The following is a 24,831-nucleotide window of genomic DNA, read 5'->3' as shown; positions in this document are numbered from 1 at the left end:
TGCCCACCCCAATGGTCTCCTGAGTTCAGTATGATTTCATTATATTAATTAATTGATTAATTAATTGTTTTCAGACAAGGTCGTGCTCTGTCACCCAGGCTGGAGTGCAGTAGCTTGGAGAGCTTCTCAGCATTAACAAGTACTTAGACATTCTGTTGAGAAGCTTGCCTGGCCAAATGAAGCACCCTCAGTTTCTGGCAATTGGCTCACTCACGATTGAGAACAGGCTACAGACAAGAGGAGACATCCTTTCACTCTCCTTTCTCTTCGCTGGACGTCTCTTTTTCTCCTCAGAGTGCGGAAACTACCCACTTTCTGATTTCCTAAGACATGACGTCTGGCCGGGCACCGTGGCTCACGCCTGTAATCCCAACACTCTGGGAGGCTGAGGCAGGAGGATCATCTGAAGTCAGGAGTTCAAGACCAGCCTGGCCAATGTGGTGAAGCCCCGTCTCTACCAAAAAAATACAAACATTAGGTGGGTGTGGTGGCGGGCACCTGTAGTCCCAGCTACTCGGGAGGCTGAGGCAAAAGAATTTCTTGAACCTGGGAGGTGGAGGTTGCAGGGAGCCGAGATTGCACCACTGCACTCCAGCCTGGGCAACAGAGTGAAACTCCATCTTAAAAAAAAAAAAAAGAAGAAGAAGAAGAAGGCTGGACGCGGTGGCCCTCGCCTGTCATCCCAGCACTTTGGGAGGCCCAGGTGGGTGGATCACCCGAGGTTGGGAGTTCAAGACCAGTCTGGTCAACATGGAGAAACCCCGTCTCTACTACCAATAAAAAATTAGCCAGGTGTGGCGGTGGGCGCCTGTAATCCCAGCTACTTGGGAGGCTGAGGCAGGAGAATCGCTTGAATCCAGGAGGCAGAGGTTGCAGTGAGCCAGGATCACGCCACTGCACTGCAGCCTGCAACAGAGCGAGACTCCGTCTCAAAACAAAACTAGCCGGGTGTGGTGGTGTGTGCCTGTAATCTCAGCTACTCGGGAGGCTGAGGCAGGAGAATCGCTTGAACCCAGGAGGCAAAGGTTGCTGTGAGCTGAGATCATGCCACTAGCCTGGGCAACAGAGTGAGACTCTGCCTCAAAAATACAAATAAATAAATATAAATAAATAAAATTTAAAAACAACATGTATCTTTACACAGTGAGGGTAAGAAGGAATGAGAGATGGAGGTGGTGGTAATAACAATTAAATACATGAAATCAGGAGACTGCACACACACACGCGCGCACACGCACACACACCCTCAAACTGTACAATTAACAAAGAAAAGACGAGAACAGGAAGCTAGAACATCCACGTAACAGTCCTTTTTTTGGAGACCACGGGCAGTGGTTCATGCTTGTAATTCTAACACTTTGGGAGGTGGAGGTGAGAGGATCTTTGGAGCTCAGGAGCTCAAGACCAGCCTCAGCAGCAAAGCAAGATCCCGTCTCTAGTAAAAATCAAAAAAATTAGCTGGGTGTGGTGGTGGGTGCCTGTAGTCCCAGCTACTCAGGAGGCTGAGGTGGGAGGATTGCTTGAGCCCAGGAGTTTGAGGCTGCAGTGAGCTATGATCGCACCAGTGTGCTCCAGCCTGGGTGACAGAGCAAGACTCTGTCTTTCTTAAAAAAAAAAAAAAAATTAAAAATAAAGTTACAAAGGCCGGGCGCAGGGGCTCACGCCTGTCATCCCAGCACTTTGGGAGGCTAAGGCGGGTGGATCACCTGAGGTCAGGAGTTCGAGACCAGCCTGGCCAACATGGTCAAACCCCATCTCTACTGAAAATACAAACATTATCTTGACATGGTGGTGGGCACCTGTAATCCCAGCTACTCGGGAGGCTGAGGCAGGAGAATCGCTTGAACTCGGGAGGCGGAGGTTGCAGTGAGTCGAGATCATGCCATTATACTCCAGCCCGGGCGACAAGAGCAAAACTCCATCTAAAAAAAAAAAAAGGCCAAGTGCAGTGGCTCACGCCTGTAGTCCCAGCACTTTGGGAGGCTGAGGCGGACGGATCATGAGGTCAGGAGATCGAGACCTTCCTGGCTAACACGGTGAAACCCCGTCTCTACTAAAAATACAAAAAATTAGCCGGGCGCGGTGGCGGGCGCCTGTAGTCCCAGCTACTGGGGAGGCTGAGGCAGGAGAATGGCGTGAACCCGGGAAGAGGAGCTTGCAGTGAGCGGAGATCGTGCCACTGCACTCCAGCCTGGGTGACAGAGCGAGACTCCGTCTCAAAAAAAAAAAAAAAAAGAGTTCTTTTTGAGAACATGCCTTATCCTAATATTGCATGCAACTGCTACAAAAAATACTAACCATCAATGATAGGTCGACTTTTTCTTATTTTTATAAAATTACAACTCTAAAACCCATACACTGAGTCTGTCTATCTTCATGGTTTAAGGCTCAGAGAGAAAGCTGCTTTAATACCCGCTAAAAAGACCACCTGGGGCCGGGCGTGCTGGCTCATGTCTGTCATCCCAGCACTTTGGGAGGCCGAGGCAGGCGGATCACCTGAGGTCAGGAGTTCAAGACCAGCCTGGCCAACATGGTAAAACCTCATCTCTACTGAAAATACAAACATTAGCCAGGCGTGGTGGTGCACACCTGTGATCCCAGCTACTCGGGAGGCTGAGGCAGGAGAATCGCTTGTACCTGGGAGGCTGAGGTTGCAGTGAGCCGAGATCACGCCATTGCACTGCAGCCTGGGTGACAGAGTGAGACTCTGTCTCAAAAAAAGAGAGAGAGAGAGAGACCACCTGGAGAAGCTAAACTTCCAAAGTAATCCTCTTGGTATTCCCATATATGGCCTTCCAAAGGAAAACAGCAGTATTCATTTCCATCTGCCCCTTCCACTCGTCAAATAAATCAACCCAAATGTGTGGTCATACCCCATTTAGCTTCCTGAATGTGTTCCATTCAAACACATAATTTGCATGGGTGACATTTCTCTACTCTGTGTGTGCACGTCGTATTTTATCTTTTCCAACAATCGTTCAACTCGCTTCTGAGAAGGGCATCTTTTCAGACGGGTTACGGTTCCCTGGGGAAAGAGAAGGTTTTTGTACATCTTTGCATATGGCCAAATCCTCAGAGAGTGCATAGGAAACAAACCTGTGCTTTTATGATAAAACATACATCCTGTTAATTCACCTGTGTGTGGGGGTGTGGGGGGAGCAGGTTCTTTGTGCAGGTTCTTCTCTGAAAAAAACTGGTTCTTGTGATGTATTTTGTGTGGCTTTTGTCTTCTAGAAGGATGGGCAGCATTTTCTCACCATAACATCCACTCCCTTTAAATACATATCTTCCTCCCAAGGGTGCATTGTGATTCCAAGAATGTGGGACAGATACAGGAGCTTCCAGACAGACCCCATGCAGAGGCTGGAAGCTTTATTTAAACAGGCATCAGTGAGTAAATCTGCCCTGCAGTTACAGGGATGTGTTCTTCTGAATGGGGCTCAGAAACAGTTCCTCAGGTGGAAAACTCATTGGTTTTCTGAAGAGGTCACTGCACGATGCACTGATTTCTGTGTGAATTGCTTTCTTGGTTGTGGAGATGGCAGAAAGCTGAGGCTTGCTCTGTTGCCCAGGCTGGAGGGCAGTGGTGCAAACACAGCTTGGGCAGCATTTTTTTTTTTTTTGAGACGGAGTCTTGCTCTGTTGCCCAGGCTGGAGGGCAGTGGTGCAAACACAGCTTGGGCAGCATTTTTTTTTTTTTTGAGACAGAGTCTTGCTCTGTTGCCCAGGCTGGAGGGCAGTGGTGCAAACACAGCTTGGGCAGCATTTTTTTTTTTTTTTTGAGACGGAGTCTTGCTCTGTTGCCCAGGCTGGAGGGCAGTGGTGCAAACACAGCTTGGGCAGCAGTTTTTTTTTTTTTTTTTTGAGACGGAGTCTTGCTCTGTGGCCCAGGCTGGAGGGCAGTGGCGCGATCTCGACTCACTGCATGGTCCGCCTCCCAGGCTCACGGCATTCTCCTGCCTCAGCCTCCTGAGTAGCTGGGACTACAGGCGCCCGCCACCACGCCCGGCTAATTTTCTTTGTATTTTTAGTAGAGACGGGGTTTCACCGTGTTAGCCAGGATGGTCTCGATCTCATGACCTCGTGATCCGCCCGCCTCGGCCTCCCAAAATGCTGGGATCACAGGCTTGAGCCACCACAGCTGACTAAATGTTTTATTTTTTGGAGAAACAAGATCTCACTTTGTTGCTGAGGCTGGTCTTGAACTCCTGGGCTCAAGCAATTCCGCCTCAGCCTCCCAGAGTACCGGGATTACAGGCATCAGCCAGCACAGCTGGCTAAATTTTTGATTTTTTTGGAGAAACAAGATCTCACTTTGTTGCTGAGGTTGGTCTCGAACTCCTGGGCTCAAACGATTCTGCCTCAGCCTCCCAGAGTACCGGGATTACAGGCATGAGCCAGCACAGCTGGCTAAATTTTTGATTTTTTGGAGAAACAAGATCTCACTTTGTTGCTGAGGTTGGTCTCGAACTCCTGGGCTCAAGCCATTCTGCCCCAGCCTCCCAGAGTACTGAGATTACAGGCATGAGTCACCACAGCTGGCTAAATGTTTTATTTTTTGGAGAGACAGGGTCTCACTTTGTTGCCGAGGCTGGTCTTGAACTCCTGGGCTCAAGCAACTCTGCCTCAGCCTCCCAGAATACCGGGATTACAGGCATGAGTCACCACATCTGGCTAAATGTTTTATTTTTTGGAGAGACAGGGTTTCACCATGTGGCACGGGCTGGTCTTGAACTCCTGGGCTCAAGTGATCCTCCTGCCTCAGCCTCCCAGAGTGCTGAGATTACAACAAGCGTGAGCTACCACGTCCAGCCTAACTTGCTTTCCAATTTCTGAATTACAAATCCTGGTCTCCTTTCTCAGCGTGTCTTTTGGAAGTGCAGTTTTATGGGAAACACGGCAAACGCACTGCAGCTCTTTAAACACGAACAGATTGAGTTTGTTTCTCATTCAATACAACTTCCTTGGAAATCTTCAATACATGACAATTTCACTTTCCCAAGGGGAAAACCAGTAGATGAGCTGGTCACCCAGCAATTTTTGAAACTCATATATATATATATATATATATATATATATATATATATATATAGAGAGAGAGAGAGAGAGAGAGAGAGAGAGAGAGAGAGAGAGAGAGACAGAGAGAGAGTCCTTTTTGCTGAGGTTGGTCTCGAACTCCTGGGCTCAAGCAATTCTGCCTCAGCCTCCCACAGTACTGGGATCACGGGCAGGAGCCACCACAGCTGGCTAAATTTTTGATTTTTTGGAGAGAAAAGGTCTCACTTTGTTGCTGAGGCTGGTCTTGAACTCCTGGGCTCATGCCTGTAATCCCAGCACTTTGGGAGGCTGAGGCAGGCAGATCACAAAGTCAAGAGATCAAGACCATCCTGGCTAACACGGTGAAATCCCGTCTCTACTAAACATACAAAAAATTAGCCGGGCGTGGTGGCGGGCACCTGTAATCCCAGCTACTCGGGAGGCTGAGGCAGGAGGATTGCTTGAACCCAGGAGGTGGAGGTTGCAGTGAGCTGAGATGGCACCACTGCACTCCTGCCTGGTGACAGAGCAAGACTCCATCAAAACAAAACAAAAAAAGTTTCTGCCTGTATTTATTCATTTATTTAGAGATGTGGTCTCACTCTGTCAGCCAGGCTGGAGTGCAGTGGTGCAATCATGGCTTCCTGCAGCCTCCACCTCCTGGGATCAAATAATCCTCCTGGGCCAGGCGCGGTGGCTCACGCCTGTCATCCCAGCACTTTGGGAGGCTGAGGCGGGTGGATCACCCGAGGTCGGGAGCTCAAAACCAGCCTGGCCAACATGGGGAAACCTCGTCTCTACTAAAAATACAAAAGAAATTAGCCAGGTGTGGTGGCGGGCACCTGTAATCCCAGCTACTCGGGAGGCTGGGGCAGGAAAATCGCTTGAACCCGGGAGGCAGAAATTACAGTGAGCTGAGATCACGCCACTGCACTCCAGCCTGGCAACAGAGCGAGACTCTGTCTCAAAAAAAATTAAAAAACAAAAACAAAGTATCCTCTTGCCTGCTGAATAGCTTCAACCGTAGGAGAGCACCACCATGCCTGCCTAATTATTTGACTTTTTTTAATTGTTATAAAATGTTTATTCATTTTGTAATTTTTATTGGCTGCATTATATTTCAGCACAGGATGCCCAACAATGATTTATTCAATTTTTTATAGCCTTTTTAGAAATCAGTTTATTATACTGTCTTCTCAGAATACTTTCAAGGATTCTTCCATTGAATTGTTTTATAAGTTTATGCAAGTCCTTATGTGTTAGGTGAGTCTCTTGAAGGCACCAGCAGGCAGTTGATTGGTGAATTTTTTTTTAATTTTTTTATTATTATACTTTAAGTTTTAGGGTACATGTGCACAATGTGCAGGTTTGTTACATATGTAACAAACCTTTTTTGTAGAGATGAGGGTCTCGCTATGTTGCCCAGGCTGGTCTCAATCTCCTGGGCTCAAGGGATCTGGCTGTTTCGCCTCCAAAAGTGCTTTGATTACAGGTGTGAGCCACCGAGCCCAGCCTGTATTTTTCTTATTATGCTATAGTGCAAAAGTAACTGTGGTTTTGGCCACTATTGTTCATGACAAAAATTTAACTTTTAACTCTCAGCATCTGTGAGTTCAAACAAAAGAAATTAAAATACGTCTGTTTTGGGAAAACGTGTAGAGTAGACGACCGACACTATTTTTCTTGGCTCTCTTGCTTATGAGTTCAATATAGGCATGCTTGCAAAGTTTAAAACAACTTTTTTTTTTTAACGACAACTCCAAGAACAAAGGCTTTAGAAAGCTTATCTCCGTGTGTTTGGTCAGTGTTTTTGCTTTCTCTGCATTTTTCTTTAAATCCCTACATTGTCTGCTATTAAACATGAAAGTCTAACACCAACAGAAGCCTCAGAAACAGAAGGACATGTTAGCAGGAGGCGAAGTCCGTGGCTTTTTGTGTGTAATTTGGGAATCTGAGAACTGATGGTAAGAATCTGTTACATAAAAACTCAAAGATCTCATTCCTATTGAAACCGTGTCCGTGTGAAAAAGTTAATTTTTTTTTTTTTAAATGTGGTCAAGTCCAGAGAAGTCTGCAAGACAACCCATGGAAAAATCAGAAAGAAATTCAGGGCTGAGACACTTACTTTTCAGGTTGAACTATGCAAAAAAAATGAAGATCTGGAAGCGATATCCAGGAAGATTCCATTCATTTTTGAAAAACATTCTTTGTGATTGGCAACAAGCTATTTCTAAGGGAAAAGATCTCTCAAACCATTTGAATATTCTGTTCATTTTTGAAACAGATTCATTACAATTGGCAACAAACATCTATTTCTAAGGGACAGAGTCTCTCAAACCACGTAAAACAATAGGAGTGGATTTGCAGAACAAAGCTGAACGTTTTATTTTATTTAGTTCCTGTTATTTTATTTTATTATTCATTTTTTTGAGACAGCGTCTGGCTCTGTCGCCCAGGCTGGAGTGCAATGGCGCGATCTCGGCTCAGTGCAACCTCCGCCTCCTGGGTCCAAGCGATTCTCCTGCCTCAGCTTCCTGAGTAGCTGGGATTACAGATACACACCACCACGCCCGGCTAATTTTTGTATTTTTAGTAGAGATAGAGTTTCACCGTGTTGGCCAGGCTGGTCTCGAACTCCTGACCTCAGGTGATCCACCCGCCTCGGCCTCCCAAAGTGCTGGGATGACAGGCGTGAGAGCCACACTGCGCCCGGCCAAAGCTGAATAGTTTAACCATGAAATAACTGTGTGCATTCAGAACTTGCCTGCGTTTGCCCCTAAAAAACAGGCTGGAGATGGACGCGTTGAGGTCAGCCATGAAAAGCACCTCTGCTAACACGCAAAAAGCACCATTTTTCTTCTGTCCGGCAAGACACACACAGGCTGGGTGAAGAGAGGGCTCTGAGCTTCAGACCACGCAGGCCAGAAAAGGAAAGGAACGGTCAAGTTGCACTTTGCAGAATGGCCTGGACACACGGCCTCTGAAACCCCTTCTCTGGCCAAGAGAAGCTTTCAGGAACTACCAGGAGTCAGCAGGAAGAACGGACGGTACAGACAACGGACGGTTTAGACTCCAGGCAACTGGGGAGGTGTCGGAGAGGCTCACCTGTCCTCAGGCTCTGAGCCCCCCACAGAGAAAGCTCCCCCAGCACTGCCCACCCTGTAACCGCGGTGGGAACCCTGTGTGGGCAGCTGTGTCCCTCCCCCACTTCCCTCCCAGCTCACATGTGTTTTTTATCACAGCCGGGAAGCAGTCAGGCCGGCCAAATCCAATCATGAACTTTCCTTTACATAAAGAGAGAAAAATCTATGCAAAAAAAAAAAAAAAAATTTGTCATTTTTAAAAGTCGATTTCTTTTTCCATTTATTATTATTATATTTTTTGTCTCAAAAATGACTCAATCATCCTTGCAAGACCGTGCTGGAAAATCCGTGCCACTGTCGAAAACTGGAACAAAATAAAAGTTAAAAGCACACACATCACCGGCCGGGCCCAGACGCGGGTGGATCACGAGGTCAGGAGTTCGAGACCAGCCTGACCAACACGGTGAAACCCCATTGCTACTAAAAATACAAAAATGAGCCGGGCGCGGTGGTGCAGGTGACTGTCATCCCAGCTACTCGGGAGGCTGAGGCAGGAGAGTCGCTTGAACCCGGGAGGCGGAGGTCGCGGTGAGCCGAGATCGCGCCCCTGCACTCCTCCGGCCTGGGCGACAGAGCGAGACTCAGTCTCAAAAAAAAAAATAAATTAATTAATTAAAGAAAGTGGAGAATTAGCAGCTCTGACTTGATTCAAATCAGGGCTTTTTCCTCTGTTTTTTTTGCCACCTTCTGGGGGGACGTTGGCTGAGAAGCGGGGAGGTAGGTTTCAGTAAAGGAAGGGGATGGGATACAAGCAAAAGTCAATGGTACCTCCCGATCTAAGGCTGGGGGGCAACACTGGGTACCCACCCTGGAAATGCACGGAGCAGAACAACACTCTGTGTTCAGCCACGGCCGACTCAGGATTTTTTTTTTTTTTTTTTTTTTCCAATAAGCCTGTCCTCAGGGGAGAGGTTGAGAATTTTTTTTTTTTTAACACTTGAATACAAATATTTATAAGTTTATTTATATCTCAGTTTTACAAGATGTACATTCATACTACGGGGCGTCACAAAAATACAGTCTGTTGCTGCAACTCAACATTGAGATTATTGAACGTTAGGAGAATGAGGGCGTCACCAGAGAAACTCAGGGTGGTTTTTTTTGGTTTTTTTTTCTGTTTGTTTGTTTGTTTTTTTTCTACCCCTCACCGCCTGCCGACAATAACAGAGGGATAGAAATGTGAAGACTGTTGGTTTGGGAAACGGTGTGTGATTTGTTTTCATCTGAAGCAATCCCTGAAAATATCTGTAGATGTATTTGTAACCCGGACGCGGGGGCCGCTATGTCGTCAATGGGGGAGGGAAAAAGAAAAAGCAACAGTTTTCAGAAATATAAAAATAAATGCAACGCGATGTCAAATTTACACTCGACATAATTAAAATAGTACATATTTATGAACGTCCGACCAAGGAAAAAAAAATAAATAACAAATGCACATACATCACAAAGTAAGAAGCAGGGGCTTTTGCCTCCTTCCCACGGGACCTGCACGTACAATGGGCTGAACTCGTGAAGCCACATCCCCTTTCAATAAATAGCACATTTCATAGCTTTGAAACGGGATATTGTCTACATTCCTTAACCGGCTTCTCATTAAATATCAAATTTCAATAAAACATTTATAAATGGCATCAACTTACCCACGTGTGTCGAAGAATATCAGCATATACTCGCTAAGCTAATTCTCTTTAATAAATTAGGCACCAGTTTTTTTTTTTTTTTTTTTTTTTTTTTAATGTCAAACGTGTCCACCGAAAGCCTCTCTCCTCCCCAGACCTCCCAAAGCTGGAGGAGACAAGCGGCTTCCAGCAAAGTGCCTCCGAAATGTGTGTCGTGGGAGTGGCTGCCGTGTGCCATCCTCGCTATGTCCCCGGGAAAACTGTGGAGCTAAAGGGAGCTGGAGGCTTCTGCTTGTTCTTAGGGGAAAACAAATGTTAGAAAGGTCAGCATGAAACCCAGAGGCGAGGACAGAGGACTCTGGTATTTCCCTTTCATCCTGACCAGAGCTTGGCACCAAAACCTGAAACCCGTCTCGGCTTCATTTCGGTTAAACGCCCAGCTGTCCCCAGACTCTGCGGTATCCACAGATGCTCCCACGTGCTGACGTGGCCAAGGACAGCAGCAAGACCAGAACAGAAACTCAGGCTTCCAAGGAAATGGGACCATTTCGGGGGCCTGGCTGGACTTTGGCGGGATGGAGAGGCCATTCCTACGACAGGGCGTCTTTGGAGCGGCCCAAAGGCCTCCTTCCCGTACGGGAGACACCAAGCCCGTCGCACCACCAGCTTTGTAAGTGGAAAAACGGGTGTTGGACGCGGTCAGTTACGCTCTAAATCGTACAGAGGCACAGAATCTGTCCCATCTCTTTATCCACGGCGCTGGAGAAGACAGCCACAGCCAAGGGGCCCTGTCACCACTGCCTGTGAAACAACACCCCAACGGCCACCAGAGAAGGTGCATTTTTCTAACTCTTGGCAATTGCCAGGAACACACCTTTGCAAAGTATGCACCAGTCAGAGACTCGAACGGAGAAAGAAAATCTAATAGCAACATCCGATACATCCAATTCCTTCTCCCTGTGGGTGCTTCGCAGTCAGAGAGAGAGAAAAGAGAGAGAAAAGTGGATATGTCAGAAACAGATTTCACCAGAACAGCCACTCAAAGGAAGAAGTGTTTTTTGCTCAACTGCGGCGACTGACAACCCTCCACGGACTATTTGGCCAAGTTTTGGGGAGAGGAGGGAAGAAAATACGTATCAATCAGGACCCAACCCAGCATCGTTCAGTTCGGCCAGCAACGTGTTCCTATCAGTGTGCTGGAGCTGGTACGGATCTCACACACCAAATCCTCTCTCTGCAACGGCGTTACATCGGAACACAGCCCACGTTGCTCTCTGGGTGGTATTCCTTGCTCTGCGAGCGAGCTCACCGGGAAGCCACAGGGAAAGCAGGAACGTGACTTTCAAAAGAACCTTGTTTTGAGCAAAAAGCACCAAGAATCGCCAGCGTACACCCACCCCATAAATTCAATTTCTCACCTCCTGTGGAGAGACGTATGTTGTTTCCATGCTGAATGTTCACGCAAACGTGTCTCTGGAGGGCCTTCCGGGAAACCAAACCCACGCACATCACATACAGAGGGTCCCCATCAGCCCAGTCCTTCCTAAACATCTCAGAAAAAGAGAGAGGAGGCCGGGCGCGGTGCCTCACCCCGTAATCCCAGCACTCTGGGAGGCTGAGGCGGGTGGATCATGTGAGGTCAGGAGTTCAAGACCAGCCTGGCCAACATGGCGAAACCCGGTCTCTACTAAAAAATACAAAAATTATCCGGGAATGGTGGTGGGTGCCTGTCATCCCAGCTACTTGGGAGGCTGAGGCAGGAGAATTTCTTGAAGCCAGGAGGTAGAGGATGCAGTGAGCTGGGATTGCACCACTGCACTCCAGCCTGGGTGACAGAGTGAGACTTCATCGAAGAAAGAAAGAAGAAAGAAAAAGAAAGAAAGAAAAAGAAAGAAAGAAACAAAAAAGGAAAAGAGAAAGAAAAAGAGAGAAAGATAAAAAGGAAAGAAACAGAAAGAAAGAAAAGAAAGAAAGAGAGAAAGAAAGAAAAAGAAAGAAAGGAAGGAAGGAAGGAAGGAGAAGGGAGAGAGAAGAGGGCGTTGGTGGTGAGAACTGGTCACAGCCCAAGCTGAATTTCTTACTTCCTTCCATCCGAGAGTTTCAGGGAGAAAGAAGCAGCTAGCATACACGTACCCCACACTCATTCAGGGATCACTCATCCACCTACAGAAAGTCACCCAACTTCTCTCGCAGGAGAAAAGCCAAAGGCAGCCAGTGTCCACAGACACTCGTGTCCCACCCTCACAGTTCTCTGCGTTTGATCTGCTTCGGGGACCCATTTGTGAGGATGACACTTGGCCCTCTTTCCATATTAAATCAAACTGAAACCGTCCCCGCACAGTTGAGAGTCAGTAACTCCCTTTTAAAAGTTCAGATTCAGGCCAGGTGCGGTGGCTCACGCCTGTAATCCCAGCACTTTGCGAGGGACAAAGCGGGCAGGTCAACCTGAGGTCAGGAGTTTGAGACCAGCCGGGCCAACACAGCAAAAACCTGTCTCTACCAAAAATGCAAAAAAATTACCCAGGCCTGGTGGCAGGTGCCTGTAATCCCAGCTACTCGGGAGGCTGAAACCCTGTCTCTACTAAAACTACCAGAAAGTTACCCAGGCCTGGTGGCAGGTGCCTGTAATCCCAGCTACTCAGGAGGCCGAAACCCTGTCTGTACTAAAAATACCAGAAAGTTACCCAGGCCTGGTGGCAGGTGCCTGTAATCCCAGCTACTCGGGAGGCTGAAACCCTGTCTCTACTAAAAATACCAGAAAGTTACCCAGGCCTGGTGGCAGGTGCCTGTAATCCCAGCTACTCAGGAGGCCGAAACCCTGTCTCTACTAAAAATACCAGAAAGTTACCCAGGCCTGGTGGCAGGTGCCTGTAATCCCAGCTACTCGGGAGGCCGAAACCCTGTCTCTACTAAAAATACCAGAAAGTTACCCAGGCCTGGTGGCAGGTGCCTGTAATCCCAGCTACTCGGGAGGCCGAAACCCTGTCTCTACTAAAAATACCAGAAAGTTACCCAGGCCTGGTGGCAGGTGCCTGTAATCCCAGCTACTCGGGAGGCTGAAACCCTGTCTGTACTAAAAATACCAGAAAGTTACCCAGGCCTGGTGGCAGGTGCCTGTAATCCCAGCTACTCGGGAGGCCGAAACCCTGTCTCTACTAAAAATACCAGAAAGTTACCCAGGCCTGGTGGCAGGTGCCTGTAATCCCAGCTACTCGGGAGGCTGAAACCCTGTCTCTACTAAAAATACCAGAAAGTTACCCAGGCCTGGTGGCAGGTGCCTGTAATCCCAGCTACTCGGGAGGCCGAAACCCTGTCTCTACTAAAAATACCAGAAAGTTACCCAGGCCTGGTGGCAGGTGCCTGTAATCCCAGCTACTCGGGAGGCCGAAACCCTGTCTCTACTAAAAATACCAGAAAGTTACCCAGGCCTGGTGGCAGGTGCCTGTAATCCCAGCTACTCGGGAGGCTGAAACCCTGTCTCTACTAAAAATACCAGAAAGTTACCCAGGCCTGGTGGCAGGTGCCTGTAATCCCAGCTACTCGGGAGGCTGAAACCCTGTCTCTACTAAAAATACCAGAAAGTTACCCAGGCCTGGTGGCAGGTGCCTGTAATCCCAGCTACTCGGGAGGCTGAAACCCTGTCTCTACTAAAAATACCAGAAAGTTACCCAGGCCTGGTGGCAGGTGCCTGTAATCCCAGCTACTCGGGAGGCTGAGGCAGGAGAATGGCTTGAACCCGGGAGGCGGAGGTTGCGGTGAGCCGAGATTGTGCCACTGCACTCCAGCCTGGGGGACAAGATTGAAATTCCGTCTCTAAAGAGAAACGTTCAGATTCTACAGGGACCAGGTAGATGTCTTTCTACTCACGTGGAGTGAGCTTTTTCTTGGGAGGAAATGATGACACACTGTTATGTTTCGATTTTTCAAAATTACTCAGCCTTTTTGGTTAAAAAAAAAAAATCTAGGGCTGTACATATCTTACCAACCACTTTTCCAAAGGGTTACATACTCTGATGAATGAACCTACTTCCCAAAGATTCAAAATGCAATTCTTCTTTTCGATAAAAATTTCAGCTTAACTATTAAAGCCTCTCTCTCTCTTTTTTTTTTTTAATTTCCAGCTTTTAAGAAAAATGGATGAATGAGGCAAACTCTCTAATACCGTTAATGTCTGGGATTCTTTCTCTCTCTCTCCGTCATTTTACAGCGGTTGTAACATTTTGACATAAAAAATGTTGAAGGGGACTTTTGGTTTGTATAAAGAATATCAGAAGATACAAATGAGACGGGTCCAAATGGATCTACAGTTCAGCTCAGTGACAAGATAGAAAGTGTTATGCGGAAGAAAAAAAGAAGTTGTTTTTTTTTTTCTTTTATCCCCACCTCAGGGAGAAGTATCTAAATCAGAAGTTAGGAAAGAAAACCACCAAGCTTGAATCCAGAAAGATGCAAATGTGTTATGGAAATAAGAGAGTTGACCAGTGGATGTTAGTAAATGTTGGGAGAAGATAGTTTCTCTCTGGGCAGGCTGTGGTAACTAATGCCAATCATGCAGATGGATCTTCTCGGAGGTCACCAAACCCCTTGCTGTGTTCCCAGAAAACCAATCAGAACATGGAACGTGGATCTCCCGAAATCTGGGGGCAGAACCCTTGAATGTTTTTGGTTAGGTCATTTCAAGCAACTGTCCAGCCCATGCCAGCTGTGACGACAAGTTGCTATCTGCTGTTTATAAAACTGGGGGCACGTTGGGAGGCCGAGGCGGGCAGATCACCTGAGGTCAGGAGTTCGAGACGAGCCTGGCCAACACGGTGAAACCCCGTCTCTACTATAAATACAAAAAATTAGCCGGGGGTGGTGGCAGGTGCCTGTAGTCCCAGCTACTCGGGAGGCTGAGGCAGGAGCATCGCTTGAACCCGGGAGGCGGAGGTGGCAGTGAGCTGACATTGCGCCACTGCACTCCAGCCTGGGCGACAAAGCAAGTCTCTGTCTCAAAAATAAAAAACAAAGAAATAAAAGAACTGGGGGAACGCAGAAGATGGAGTAGGGGAGAAAGAAAAGCTGGAACCACCTACATCTGCAAAAACTTGAAAACTCTCTGGATCTCTCCCTGGCTTTTACGCTTCCCAACCAGAAACAGCTCAGGTACCAAACTGATATCTTGGCACCACCGTGCCCTCTTTTATCCCCTTCAGAAACACAACCACACTCCCAGCGCGCCCAGGGCCATCTCTACACCCGTGATTTTTGCAAAGGGCCCTCAGTGGCCAGGCGGCCAGCGCTGGGAGAAGAGGTAACGCCTTTTCCACGTTGGACGCTGACGGGGTCAAGAGTGCACGGCTATTTTTTTTTTAATCTATAATATTTATAATATTGCACTTCACTCCATGTCAGTAAAGTTAATGCTGCATATCAGTATGACACCTTGCAACCACGCGTCCGTCTCTTATGCAAGTCTTTTGCGTCTGAATCCTGTAACACAGCAAAAAAAAAAAAAAAAAAAAAAAAAAAAAAAAATACCAATCCAAAACAAAACCAGACCCAATTTGGGAATCAAACACTGGAAAAGTTATAAAGTCGGTCCTCATTCAGGTCCCCGGAACGTGGGAGTCCCAACGTGGGAGGTTCGGGTCTCCCTCCCCTCCCTTTCCAAAGCCCGCGGTTCACGTCCTCAGCCTCAGCCAGAGAACTATTTCCTTATTGCTGCCTGGGAGGCTCCGGGGGAGCGGTGGAGGAGAGCCCGGCCCCTGCCTCCTGGGATTCCGAAGTCCACATTCAAATCCACACCCGTTCCGCAGCCTCTCGGGATGAAGGAAGGAGCATGGTAGTAAAGAAAATCGTTGGCAACGAAGAAATGGCATTTTCATCGGAGACCAGCTCCGGGATCTTTGCAGTTTCAATAGACTCTAAGGATCTTCCAAACGTGTGTAGTTAACCGCATGCATAGGGTATAGCAGAGGAAGACGCAGCCAGGCGGGGGTTTACCCTTCTCCAGGGTCCCAGGACGCACGGGCAGCCTTGGAGAGGCCCGGGCTGGACGCACGGCCGCTCACCCGCTCCGCCTTCTGCACCATCTCCGCGAGGGTCTGGCTGGGTCGTGCGTGGACGGTCCCGGGAGCCTCCCTCCTCAGGCCTCTTGCAGGAGCTCCCGGGGTGCCCGGAGCACGGTGGCCGCGGAAGGAGCTCCAGGCGGGGTTGAGTGCAGGACGCGCGGTGCAGGCGGGGTGCGCGGAGCCCGGGAGTCCGGGCGCGCGGGGGGCTGCGCGGCGGGTCAGAGCCCCAGGGCCTCCGCGTGCTTCCGCGCCTTGAGCCGCAGGTCGGCGATGCTGGAATTCTTGCTGTTGCTTTTGGCGGCGGCGGCGACCACGGCGGCGGCCGAGGCGGACTCGGCCAGCGACGCGATGGGCAGCCCGAAGGGCGGCGGGGGGAACATCAGGTAGGGCGCGTGCGCCGCCAGGTGCGGGTGCAGGTGCGGGTGCGCGTGGGCCACGCCTTCCAGCTGCAGCTGAGCCTGGACCTGCGGGAGCGGACCCGGCGGGGTGAGGGCGCAGGATGGGGACTGGGGGGCCTGCTCCGCCCCGCGCCCCCGGAAACCTCCAACGTGCCTCTTCTCCCCTAGGGAGCGTCGCCCCTTCTCCAGCCGTGGAGACCACCCCACACCCGCCTTTCCTCCTTCCCCCTGGCCCAGAATTGGCGCTGCCACTGGATGCATCCGCGGGAGCCGGGCCAGGGGAATCCGAACAGCTCCCTGCAAAGCGCATGGGAGGGGGGTCCACAAATGGAACGCCCTCAGGGGGAGCTCCCGATGCGCTCTCTTCGCAGGGATTCAGGGACTTTGGCTCACAACGTTCTCTCCCCCAACCAGCCCCCGTAACCTCTCCCGGGGACACCAGGTCCCCAAGCCTCTCCCGGGTCCCCAGGTCACCAAGGCTCTCCCGAGACACCAGGTCCCCAAGCCTCTCCAAGATCACCAGGTCCCCAAGCCTCTCCAAGGTCACCTGGTCCCCAAGGCTCTCCCGGGACACCAGGCTCCCAAGCCTCTCCCGGGACACCAGGTGTCCAAGCCTCTCCCGGGTCACCAGGTCCCCAAGGCTCTCTCCCGAGACACCAGGTCCCCCAGCCTCTCCCCAGGACACCAGGTCCCCAAGGCTCTCCCGGGTCACCAGGTCCCCAAGCCTCTCCCGGGACACCAGGTGTCCAAGCCTCTCCCGGGTCACCAGGTCCCCAAGGCTCTCTCCCGAGACACCAGGTCCCCCAGCCTCTCCCCAGGACACCAGATCCCCAAGGCTCTCCCAGGACACCAGGTCCCCAAGCCTCTCCCGGGACACCAGGTCCCCAAGCCTCTCCCGGGTCACTAGGTCCCCAAGGCACTCCCGAGACACCAGGTCCCCAAGCCTCTCCAAGGTCACCAGGTCCCCAAGGCTCTCCCCAGGACACCAGGTCCCCAAGGCTCTCCCGGGTCACCAGGTCCCCAGGCCTCTCCAAGGTCACCAGGTCCCCAAGCCTCTCCTGGGACACCAGGTGTCCAAGCCTCTCCCGGGACACCAAGTCCCCAAGCCTCTCCCGGGACACCAGGTCCCCAAGCCTCTCCCGGCTCACCAGATCTCCAAGCCTCTCCCAGGACACCAGGTCCCCAAGCCTCTCCCAGGACACCAGGTCCCCAAGCCTCTCCCCAGGACACCAGGTGTCCAAGCCTCTTCCAGAGACACCAGGTCCCCAAGCCTCTCCTGGGACACCAGATCCCCAAGGCTCTTTCAGGACACCAGGTCCCCAAGCCTCTCCAAGGTCACCAGGTCCCCAAGCCTCTCCCAGGACACCAGGTCCCCAAGGCTCTCCCGGGACACCAGATCCCCAAGGCCCTCCCGGGTCACCAGGTGTCCAAGCCTCTTCCAGAGACACCAGGTCCCCAAGCCTCTCCCAGAACACCAGGTCCCCAAGCCTCTCCCAGAACACCAGGTCTCCAAGCCTCTCCAAGGTCACCAGGTCCCCAAGCCTCTCCAGGGACACCAGGTCCCCAAGCCTCTCCCAGGACAACAGATCTCCAAGCCTCTCCCAGGACACCAGGTCCCAAAGGCCCTCCCAGGACACCAGGTGTCCAAGCCTCTTCCAGAGAAACCAGGTACCCAAGCCTCTCCCGGGACACCAGGTCCCCAAGCCTCTCCCGGGGATACCAGGTCCCCAAGTTTTTCCCGGGGACACCAGGTCCCCAAGACTCCGGTGCGCAAAGCCAGGCAGGCCTGCGGGCTCCAACGGCCTAATTTCACTGGGTCCCGCCGTCGGCAAAAGACGGTACAAGAAGTAGGCTCGTTCCCCCACCTCAAGGCCAGGTACCCAGGAGAGGAGAACCGCGGAGGGATGCGGACCCCTCTCCTTCGGGCCTGGGCCAGGGAGAGCTGGAGAGCTAGCGGCGACCAGCGCTCGGGGTCCATTTCTGAGTTGTTTACTTATGATTTATACGTTTATACCTTCCGCGCTCCCCACCGCCACCCCCCAAGTCCCTGCACCCTCAGCCAAACACGCGCCCAAATACAATCCCCAGCCTGTCCCCTTGGAATAAAACGGTGAAGAAGGGAGGCCACGCGTCCGCCCTGCCAGAGCCCCCCCCCCAAGCCCGTTCCGCCCGCGCATGCACTCCCGACCCCCAAATTAGGGACCGAAGGGGCAAGGGGCACCGCAGCCGGGCGCTGCGCTGCGCGTTCAGGCAGGGCGCACGTGGGCGCTGCGCTCTCTCCTCCTGTGACCCTTCACCTCCTTCCACGCAGCTCCCCGCTTCCCCCCATCCCATCCCCACCACTAAGCCAGGGCAGGGCGGGGGCGCCCTTGGGAAGCTTGGGCTCCGCGACCGAACCCCGACTCCCTGGAAGCCCCAAATCCACGCTGGGCACCCAAGCGCTGCTCACTCCAAAGTAAGTGGGGAGCTGAGTAGGGTGTCTCCAGCTCAGAGGTGCAGAGCCCAAGCCAGGGGCCAGGGGCCAGGCAGACGCCCCAGGCCCTCGGGCACTCGGGGGTGGTGATGAAAAGGGAATGGGTGTCTGTCCCATCTCTGGTATCCAGGCACAGGCATCTGCGCCCTTCTTAACCAGGCAGCAAGCCAGGTGGGGGTGCCTGACTGTGTGGACTTTTCACCCCTCTGGTTTTTGTCAGATTTCTGTTTGGGCTTGTGTGTGTTCACCTTCCCAAAAGTGGATTTTTACAGCCTGATTTTTTTTTTTTTTTTTTTGAGATGGAGTCTTGGAGTCTCACTCTGTCACCCAGAGTGGAGTGCAGTGGCGCGATATTGGCTCACGGCAACCTCCACCTCCCAGGTTCAAGTGATTCTCCCTCCCAAGTACCTGGGATCACAGGTGTGCACCACCACGCCCGGCTAAGCTTTGTGTTTTCAGTAGAGACGGGGTTTCAGCATGTTGGTCAGGCTGGTCTCGAATTCCTGACCTCAGGTGATCCACCTGCCTCGGCCTCCCAAAGTGCTGGGATGACAGGCGTGAGCCACCACACCCATTTTGTATTTTTAATAGACAGGGTTTCGTTAAGTTGGCCAGGCTGGTCTTGAACTCCTGATCTCAGGTGATGCACCCTCCTCAGCCTCCCAAAGTGCTGGGATGACAGGTGTGAGCCACCCCGCCTGGCCCAGCCTGATTTCATAGGTGCCAAGGTGCCTGTAAATGCCTCCTCGGAAAAGAGGCTTTTTTTCTAAGGGCCAGCTGAGAAGTCTGCAGGGGCAGGGAGGGACTAGGAGTGTCAGGATGCGGCAGCAAATAGGGGAAAGGGGAAGGGAGCAGCAGGTCCCTAGGGATCTTCAGAGGAAGAAAAAGTGAGCTACCTGTTGGAAAGGCATCCGTAAGGCTCCCATGTTGACGTAGGGTGCCACTCGGCAGGCGTCTAGGTGGTTGGCTGTGCCCAAGATGACGCCTGTGTCCAAAGGGAGCAGGTGTCAGTGTGGTGGTCCTGGGTGTAGCCAGCACCTCGTCGACCCCATCCCTCCTGGAGCAGGATCCCCCAGCTTCAGGTCCCCCCAGTCCCGACACCCACCTTTATGCATCTGATTCTCTTGTTTGCGGCACTTGGCTCTCCGGTTCTGGAACCAAACCTTGGGGAGAAGCAGAGAGAGATGTGAAGAGCCCTGTGAACCCAGCCCAGCCTCCCCAGGGAGCATCCTTCCCATGAGGCTGAACCAAGCACTTTGCACCTCTGGGAGCTGGGAGGTGACTGATGGTGGGCGCCCAGACACTTACCGCCCCTCTGTCTCCAGCCCTGCATCACTGACTACCTAGTACTGGAAATTGGGGTTTTTTTGGATTTTTTGTTTTGTTTTGTTGTGGTGGTGGTGGTTCTGAAATCAAGTCTCGCTCTGTCGCCCAGGCTGGAGTGCAGTGGCACTATCTCGGCTCACTGCAAGCTCCACCTCCCAGGTTCAAGCCATTCTCCTGCCTCAGCCTCCCGAGTAGCTGGGACTACAGGTGCCCACCACCATGCCCGGCTAATTTTGTATTTTAGTAGAGACGCGGTTTCACCATGTTGGCCAGGCTGGTCTCTTGTTTTTTGTTTTTGCTTTCTTTTGTTTTTGAGACGGAGTCTTGCTCTCTGGTCCAGGCTGGACTGCAGTGGCACTATCTCGCCTCCCTGCAACCTCCACCTCCCAGATTCAAGCAATTCTCCAGCCTCAGCTTCCCGAGTAGCTGGGATTACAGGCGCACACCACCACACCTAGCTAACGTTTGTATTTTTAGTAGAGATGGGGTTTCACCATGTTGGCCAGGCTGGTCTCGAACTCCTGACCTCAAGCGATCCACCCTCCTGGGCCTCCCAAAGTGCTGGGATGACAGGCGTGAGCCACTGCACCTGGCCTAGAACTGGAAATTGGGTTTTCTTTTTTGATTTTTGTTTTGTTTTTGTTTTATTTTGTTTTTGAGACAGAGTCTTGCTCTCTCATCCAGGCTGGAGTGCAGTGGTGTGATCTCACCTCACTGCAACGTCCACCTCCCAGGTTCAAGCGATTCTCCTGCCTCAGCCTCCCGAGTAGCTGGAATTACAGGTGCTCACCACCATGCCTGGCTAATTTTCGTATTTTAGTAGAGACGGGGTTTCACCATGTTGGCCAGGCTGGTCTCAAACTCCTGACCTCAAGCGATCCACCCTCCTGGGCCTCCCAAAGTGCTGGGATTAGAGGTGTGAGCCACCGCACCTGACCTAGAAGTAGAAATTGTTAAATCATCCGTGCCCTGCCTAAGTGAGACCTATGCGTTACCGCTGATGAACTTAAGGTGAAAAAGTGAGTTCCGAGCCAGTGGAAGTGGACTGTCGAACTTTCCAGCGTTCTGTGTGGGCGCCCCGCCCCCCAACTCCTGTAGACCCTGTAGGAGAACCGAAGTTTCCACCTTCAGACTTTAGCCACAAACGGAGAGGGTGAGCTGATGGCTAAAGAGTTCCAAATCCAGCCCCTTCTCCAATCTAGCTCTTGACACACCAAGCCCAGAAAATGTCTTTGCCCTTCTCGGCCTCCTCGGAAGTGTCTTTGCCCTTCTCGGCCTCCTCGGAAGCCCTGGGGAGCTGAAGGCGTCCCATTCATATTACCAAGGGTCCCCATACATGAAAGGGTCCCATTCATGACCAAGGGTCATGAGGACGCCCAAGGATAGCAGGCTTTGTGGTGGGGGCATTCTGCCCCTCTAAGGACTTCTGAGTCTTGGGGTAAACTATCAAGAAGTTGAGTGCAATAGCGCAGGGGACCCTCAGGAGGCTGGAGAAATTCACACAGGCCTCATGTGAAGATTTGCATGCAAATTCCACCCCCTCTCACCTCCTACGAGCCTCCTCTGCTCTCCCAGTATTGACAATCCCCTCCTCCACAGACAGACCAGCTGGAGAGTGCAGGCAGTTTAGCCTATGCCTGGTAATCTGGACACCACCCCCTCCTCTCCCCCACCACCACCTCCCTGACAGTCTTAGTCGCTTAATTCCTCCTAACAGGTTTTCTGTGGCAGAAAACCTGCACCTTGACCCACAAGGCAGTCACCACCCAAGAGAAATGATTCGTCCAGAGAACAGGCGTCCTCCGCCAAGGCGGTGAGTGAACCAGTCACTCCGGCTGTTGTGGGCAAAACACGTGCTGGGTCCCTCGGCCCACAGCCACCCTTACACACTGTGCATGGCCCAGGGCCGGTGCCCCTATGAAGGGAACCTCAGAAAACCCTCAGAGTTTGGGAGCAGCCAGGAGTCTACACAGCGCAACGTGAACTTGCTCTTGAACCCAACACGGAAGCTTCCAGCCCAGCTTTCGGAACTGGCTTTTCATTTCCAAAGTGGGTCCTACCGGGCTGCAGTGCGCCTGGAGAACCTGATCCTGTTTCCCAGCAAAGTCATCCTCCCTCACACCCCCGCCAAAAAGGCCCCTGCCTGGTGCTGACATCGAAATTCACCAATAATTTCCAAAGCTGGCGCCTTCAGACCTCCACCTCCACTGACCATCCAGGTGACCTGCCACTGTGCCTCTCCATGCCCACCTGGACTCTCCGCCTGTCTCCTCCAGGGCCCAGAAAGCAAGCCAGCCACCCAAAAGCCTCTGGAAGGGCATTTTTCAAAAAAGAAAATCCTCCTGAAACGTGGAAAGCCTCATTCACTCTCCCTTCAACACGGCGAGAGGAAAAAAAAAAATGATGAAGAATACAAGTGATGAATTAGCCGCTGCGTGAAGCGCTAATAAATCAGTCTTGGAGTGATTCACGATCCATTCCAATTAGGCCCGAATATGGTAAGTGAAGTGTGTGACACTGCTTAAGACAGTTATTTCTTCATTAAAGAGCACTCCCCGCTTTCTTTCCCAAATGCCGTAATGCGATTTCCTTTTGATTTCCATTACAGACAGTGAATAATGACATTTAATTTAGCTCTGCGCCATAAACCCAAAGATATTTGTTGTAATTAAATTACCGCCTGCCCCTCACCGTGGTCTCATAACTTTCGATTAGAAGCCTGACAGCTGGGTGATACGACTTTGCAGGGCCACGCTAAAAATAAAAGGTTAATCAGCAACAGCTTCTATCGGATGCTCAATTTATTTACAGCAAATTTCCACAGTAAATTGAAACTCTATCCGGTCACAGCACGGGACGGGCTGTACTGAGACGCATGTGACCCAAGAATTCACAGAGAGATGGGATTCAAATATGGTTTCTTTTTCTGTCCCTGCTCGTCCCCGTCCCCTCAACGCGGGACGTGGGTGTTGGAACTAATTGATTTTTATGACCCCTCAAAGCGCACTCGCCTTTACTATAGGATCCTTTCCCCCCGCGGCGATGGAGAATTATGTCTTTTATTGCATTCCCATGTTTGTTGTTATTATTATTTACCGTCGTTAAATTTTCATGCGACCCCTGCAATCGATAACCCCCAGCTTGTCCCCGATTTGTCTTTATTTTAGGGCGTTCTCGGGGTCCGCACACACCCCACAACCAATTTTCCGCAGCTGAACTAACGTGCTCTCGTCGGTAATAGACTACGGAAAGAAATAGTGTGGAATTAAATTACAAGTAATTTATTTTTATAGAAACAGTACATCAAGGGCTGGGATATATTGCAGATCCCAGGCACACAGACACCAGGAGATGACACATAAACTCGATGTCCCCTTTAGCGAAACTTTAATCTTTTCATTAATTTATACGGGGCAGCCCAATCCATCTTCTGCCAGAGGGGTGGACAGCGAGGAAACCCCTGTCTGATGCAGCTTCCTTCCCTCACTGAGGCCACAGACGCCCTAAGGAGGGACACAGTCCTTCCTCCAAGTCACCAAAGCCTCTCTCCCTCCTGGGCTGTATCGCTTTGGGGACCACAGCCCTCGGTAAAGATGCCTGGGGAGGGTTGATTTAATCCTAACGATCTTAGGGAAGCCTTTTAAAATGCAGCCACATGGGAAGACGGAAGAGAATCAGGAGCCAAAATATATATATATATATATATATATTTTTAAATGAAAGAGCTCGTAAAACCCTCTCCATCAAACGCATCTGTATCCTCATCTCCTAAGCAACATCGATGGAAAAGTTGTGTTTGAATGTGTTGACTCAATCACCCATCCCACAGGAACCGAAGGGAATCAGGGGCCAAAAATATATATATATTTTTATATGTATATATATGTTAATATATATATTTTTATATGTATATATATGTTTATATATATATTTTATGTATATATATGTTTATATATATATTTTATGTATATATATGTTTATATATGTATATTTTATATGTATATATGTTTATATATATTTCTTTATATGTATATATATGTTTATATATGTATATTTTATATGTATATATGTTTATATATATTTCTTTATATGTATATATGTTTATATATATTTTTATATGTATATATATGTTTATATATATATTTTATGTATATATATGTTTATATATGTATATTTTATATGTATATATGTTTATATATATTTCTTTATATGTATATATGTTTATATATATTTTTATATGTATATATATGTTTTTATATATATTTATATATATACAATATGTTTGTATATATTTATATATGTTTATATATTTATATATGTTTATATGTTTATATATATTTATACATATTTTATATATGTTAATATATTTATATATTATATATGTTTATATATTTATGTTTATATATTATATATGTTTATAGATTTATATATTATATATGTGTTTATATATTTATATATGTATATAGATTATATATATTTACATACATTTATGTATGTTTATATATTTATATATGTTTATATATAGAGACACACATATAATGAAAGATGTAACACACTTTGGATCAAATGCATCTGTATCTTCCTCTGCTCAGCAAAATCGAGAGCAAGCTGTGTTTGAATGTGTTGACCTCATAACCAGTCCTACGGGAACGGGCTTTCAGTTCGTCTCTTTGCTTTGAACGCCGTTTGCTTTGTCACGGTTCTCTCTCTGGTCGGCAATCTTAATTTCATTTATTTTTGACGGGGTCCCCAGGGTCCGGGGATCCTGACCGTCTCTCTCTC

General features: G+C 49.7%; 1 protein-coding gene across 2 annotated transcripts in view, besides 3 other annotated features; it reads right to left on the bottom strand.

Moving 5' to 3' along the window:
• SHOX (SHOX homeobox) overlaps nucleotides 1,296-24,831 on the bottom strand; it is a 35,068-nt gene continuing 11,532 nt past the window's right edge. The window contains exons 4-6 of one of the 2 annotated variants that reach the window (NM_006883.2): nucleotides 19,829-19,886; nucleotides 19,620-19,708; nucleotides 1,296-1,922 (exon numbers count right to left, since the gene is read on the bottom strand). In NM_006883.2, the coding sequence (NP_006874.1) occupies nucleotides 1,878-1,922; nucleotides 19,620-19,708; nucleotides 19,829-19,886 (192 nt within the window). In that variant the 3' untranslated portion in view covers nucleotides 1,296-1,877. Of the gene's footprint in view, nucleotides 1,923-9,122; nucleotides 16,317-19,619; nucleotides 19,709-19,828; nucleotides 19,887-24,831 lie in introns of those variants that run through there. The other variant, NM_000451.4, reaches the window with a different exon arrangement.
• Nucleotides 24,432-24,831: part of a biological region, named in NCBI's record as "meiotic recombination hotspot SHOX", that runs on past the window's edge.
• Nucleotides 24,432-24,831: part of a meiotic recombination region, noted in NCBI's record as "crossovers mapped in sperm cells of males of northern European ancestry", that runs on past the window's edge. NCBI's record gives the evidence for it as "EXISTENCE:DNA detection assay evidence [ECO:0005519][PMID:12089524]".
• Nucleotides 24,573-24,831: part of a meiotic recombination region, noted in NCBI's record as "meiotic double-strand break mapped by DNA meiotic recombinase 1 chromatin immunoprecipitation followed by single-stranded DNA enrichment and sequencing in the germ cells of some male individuals with the PRDM9 A/A, PRDM9 A/B and PRDM9 A/C genotypes", that runs on past the window's edge. NCBI's record gives the evidence for it as "EXISTENCE:chromatin immunoprecipitation-seq evidence [ECO:0000229][PMID:25395542]".

This window comes from Homo sapiens, chromosome Y, assembly GCF_000001405.40.
Source record: "Homo sapiens chromosome Y, GRCh38.p14 Primary Assembly".
In the NCBI taxonomy this organism is placed as follows: domain Eukaryota; kingdom Metazoa; phylum Chordata; class Mammalia; order Primates; family Hominidae; genus Homo; species Homo sapiens.
The sequence above is the reverse complement of the archived record's forward strand: the minus strand, read 5'-3'. Positions and strand labels throughout refer to the sequence as shown.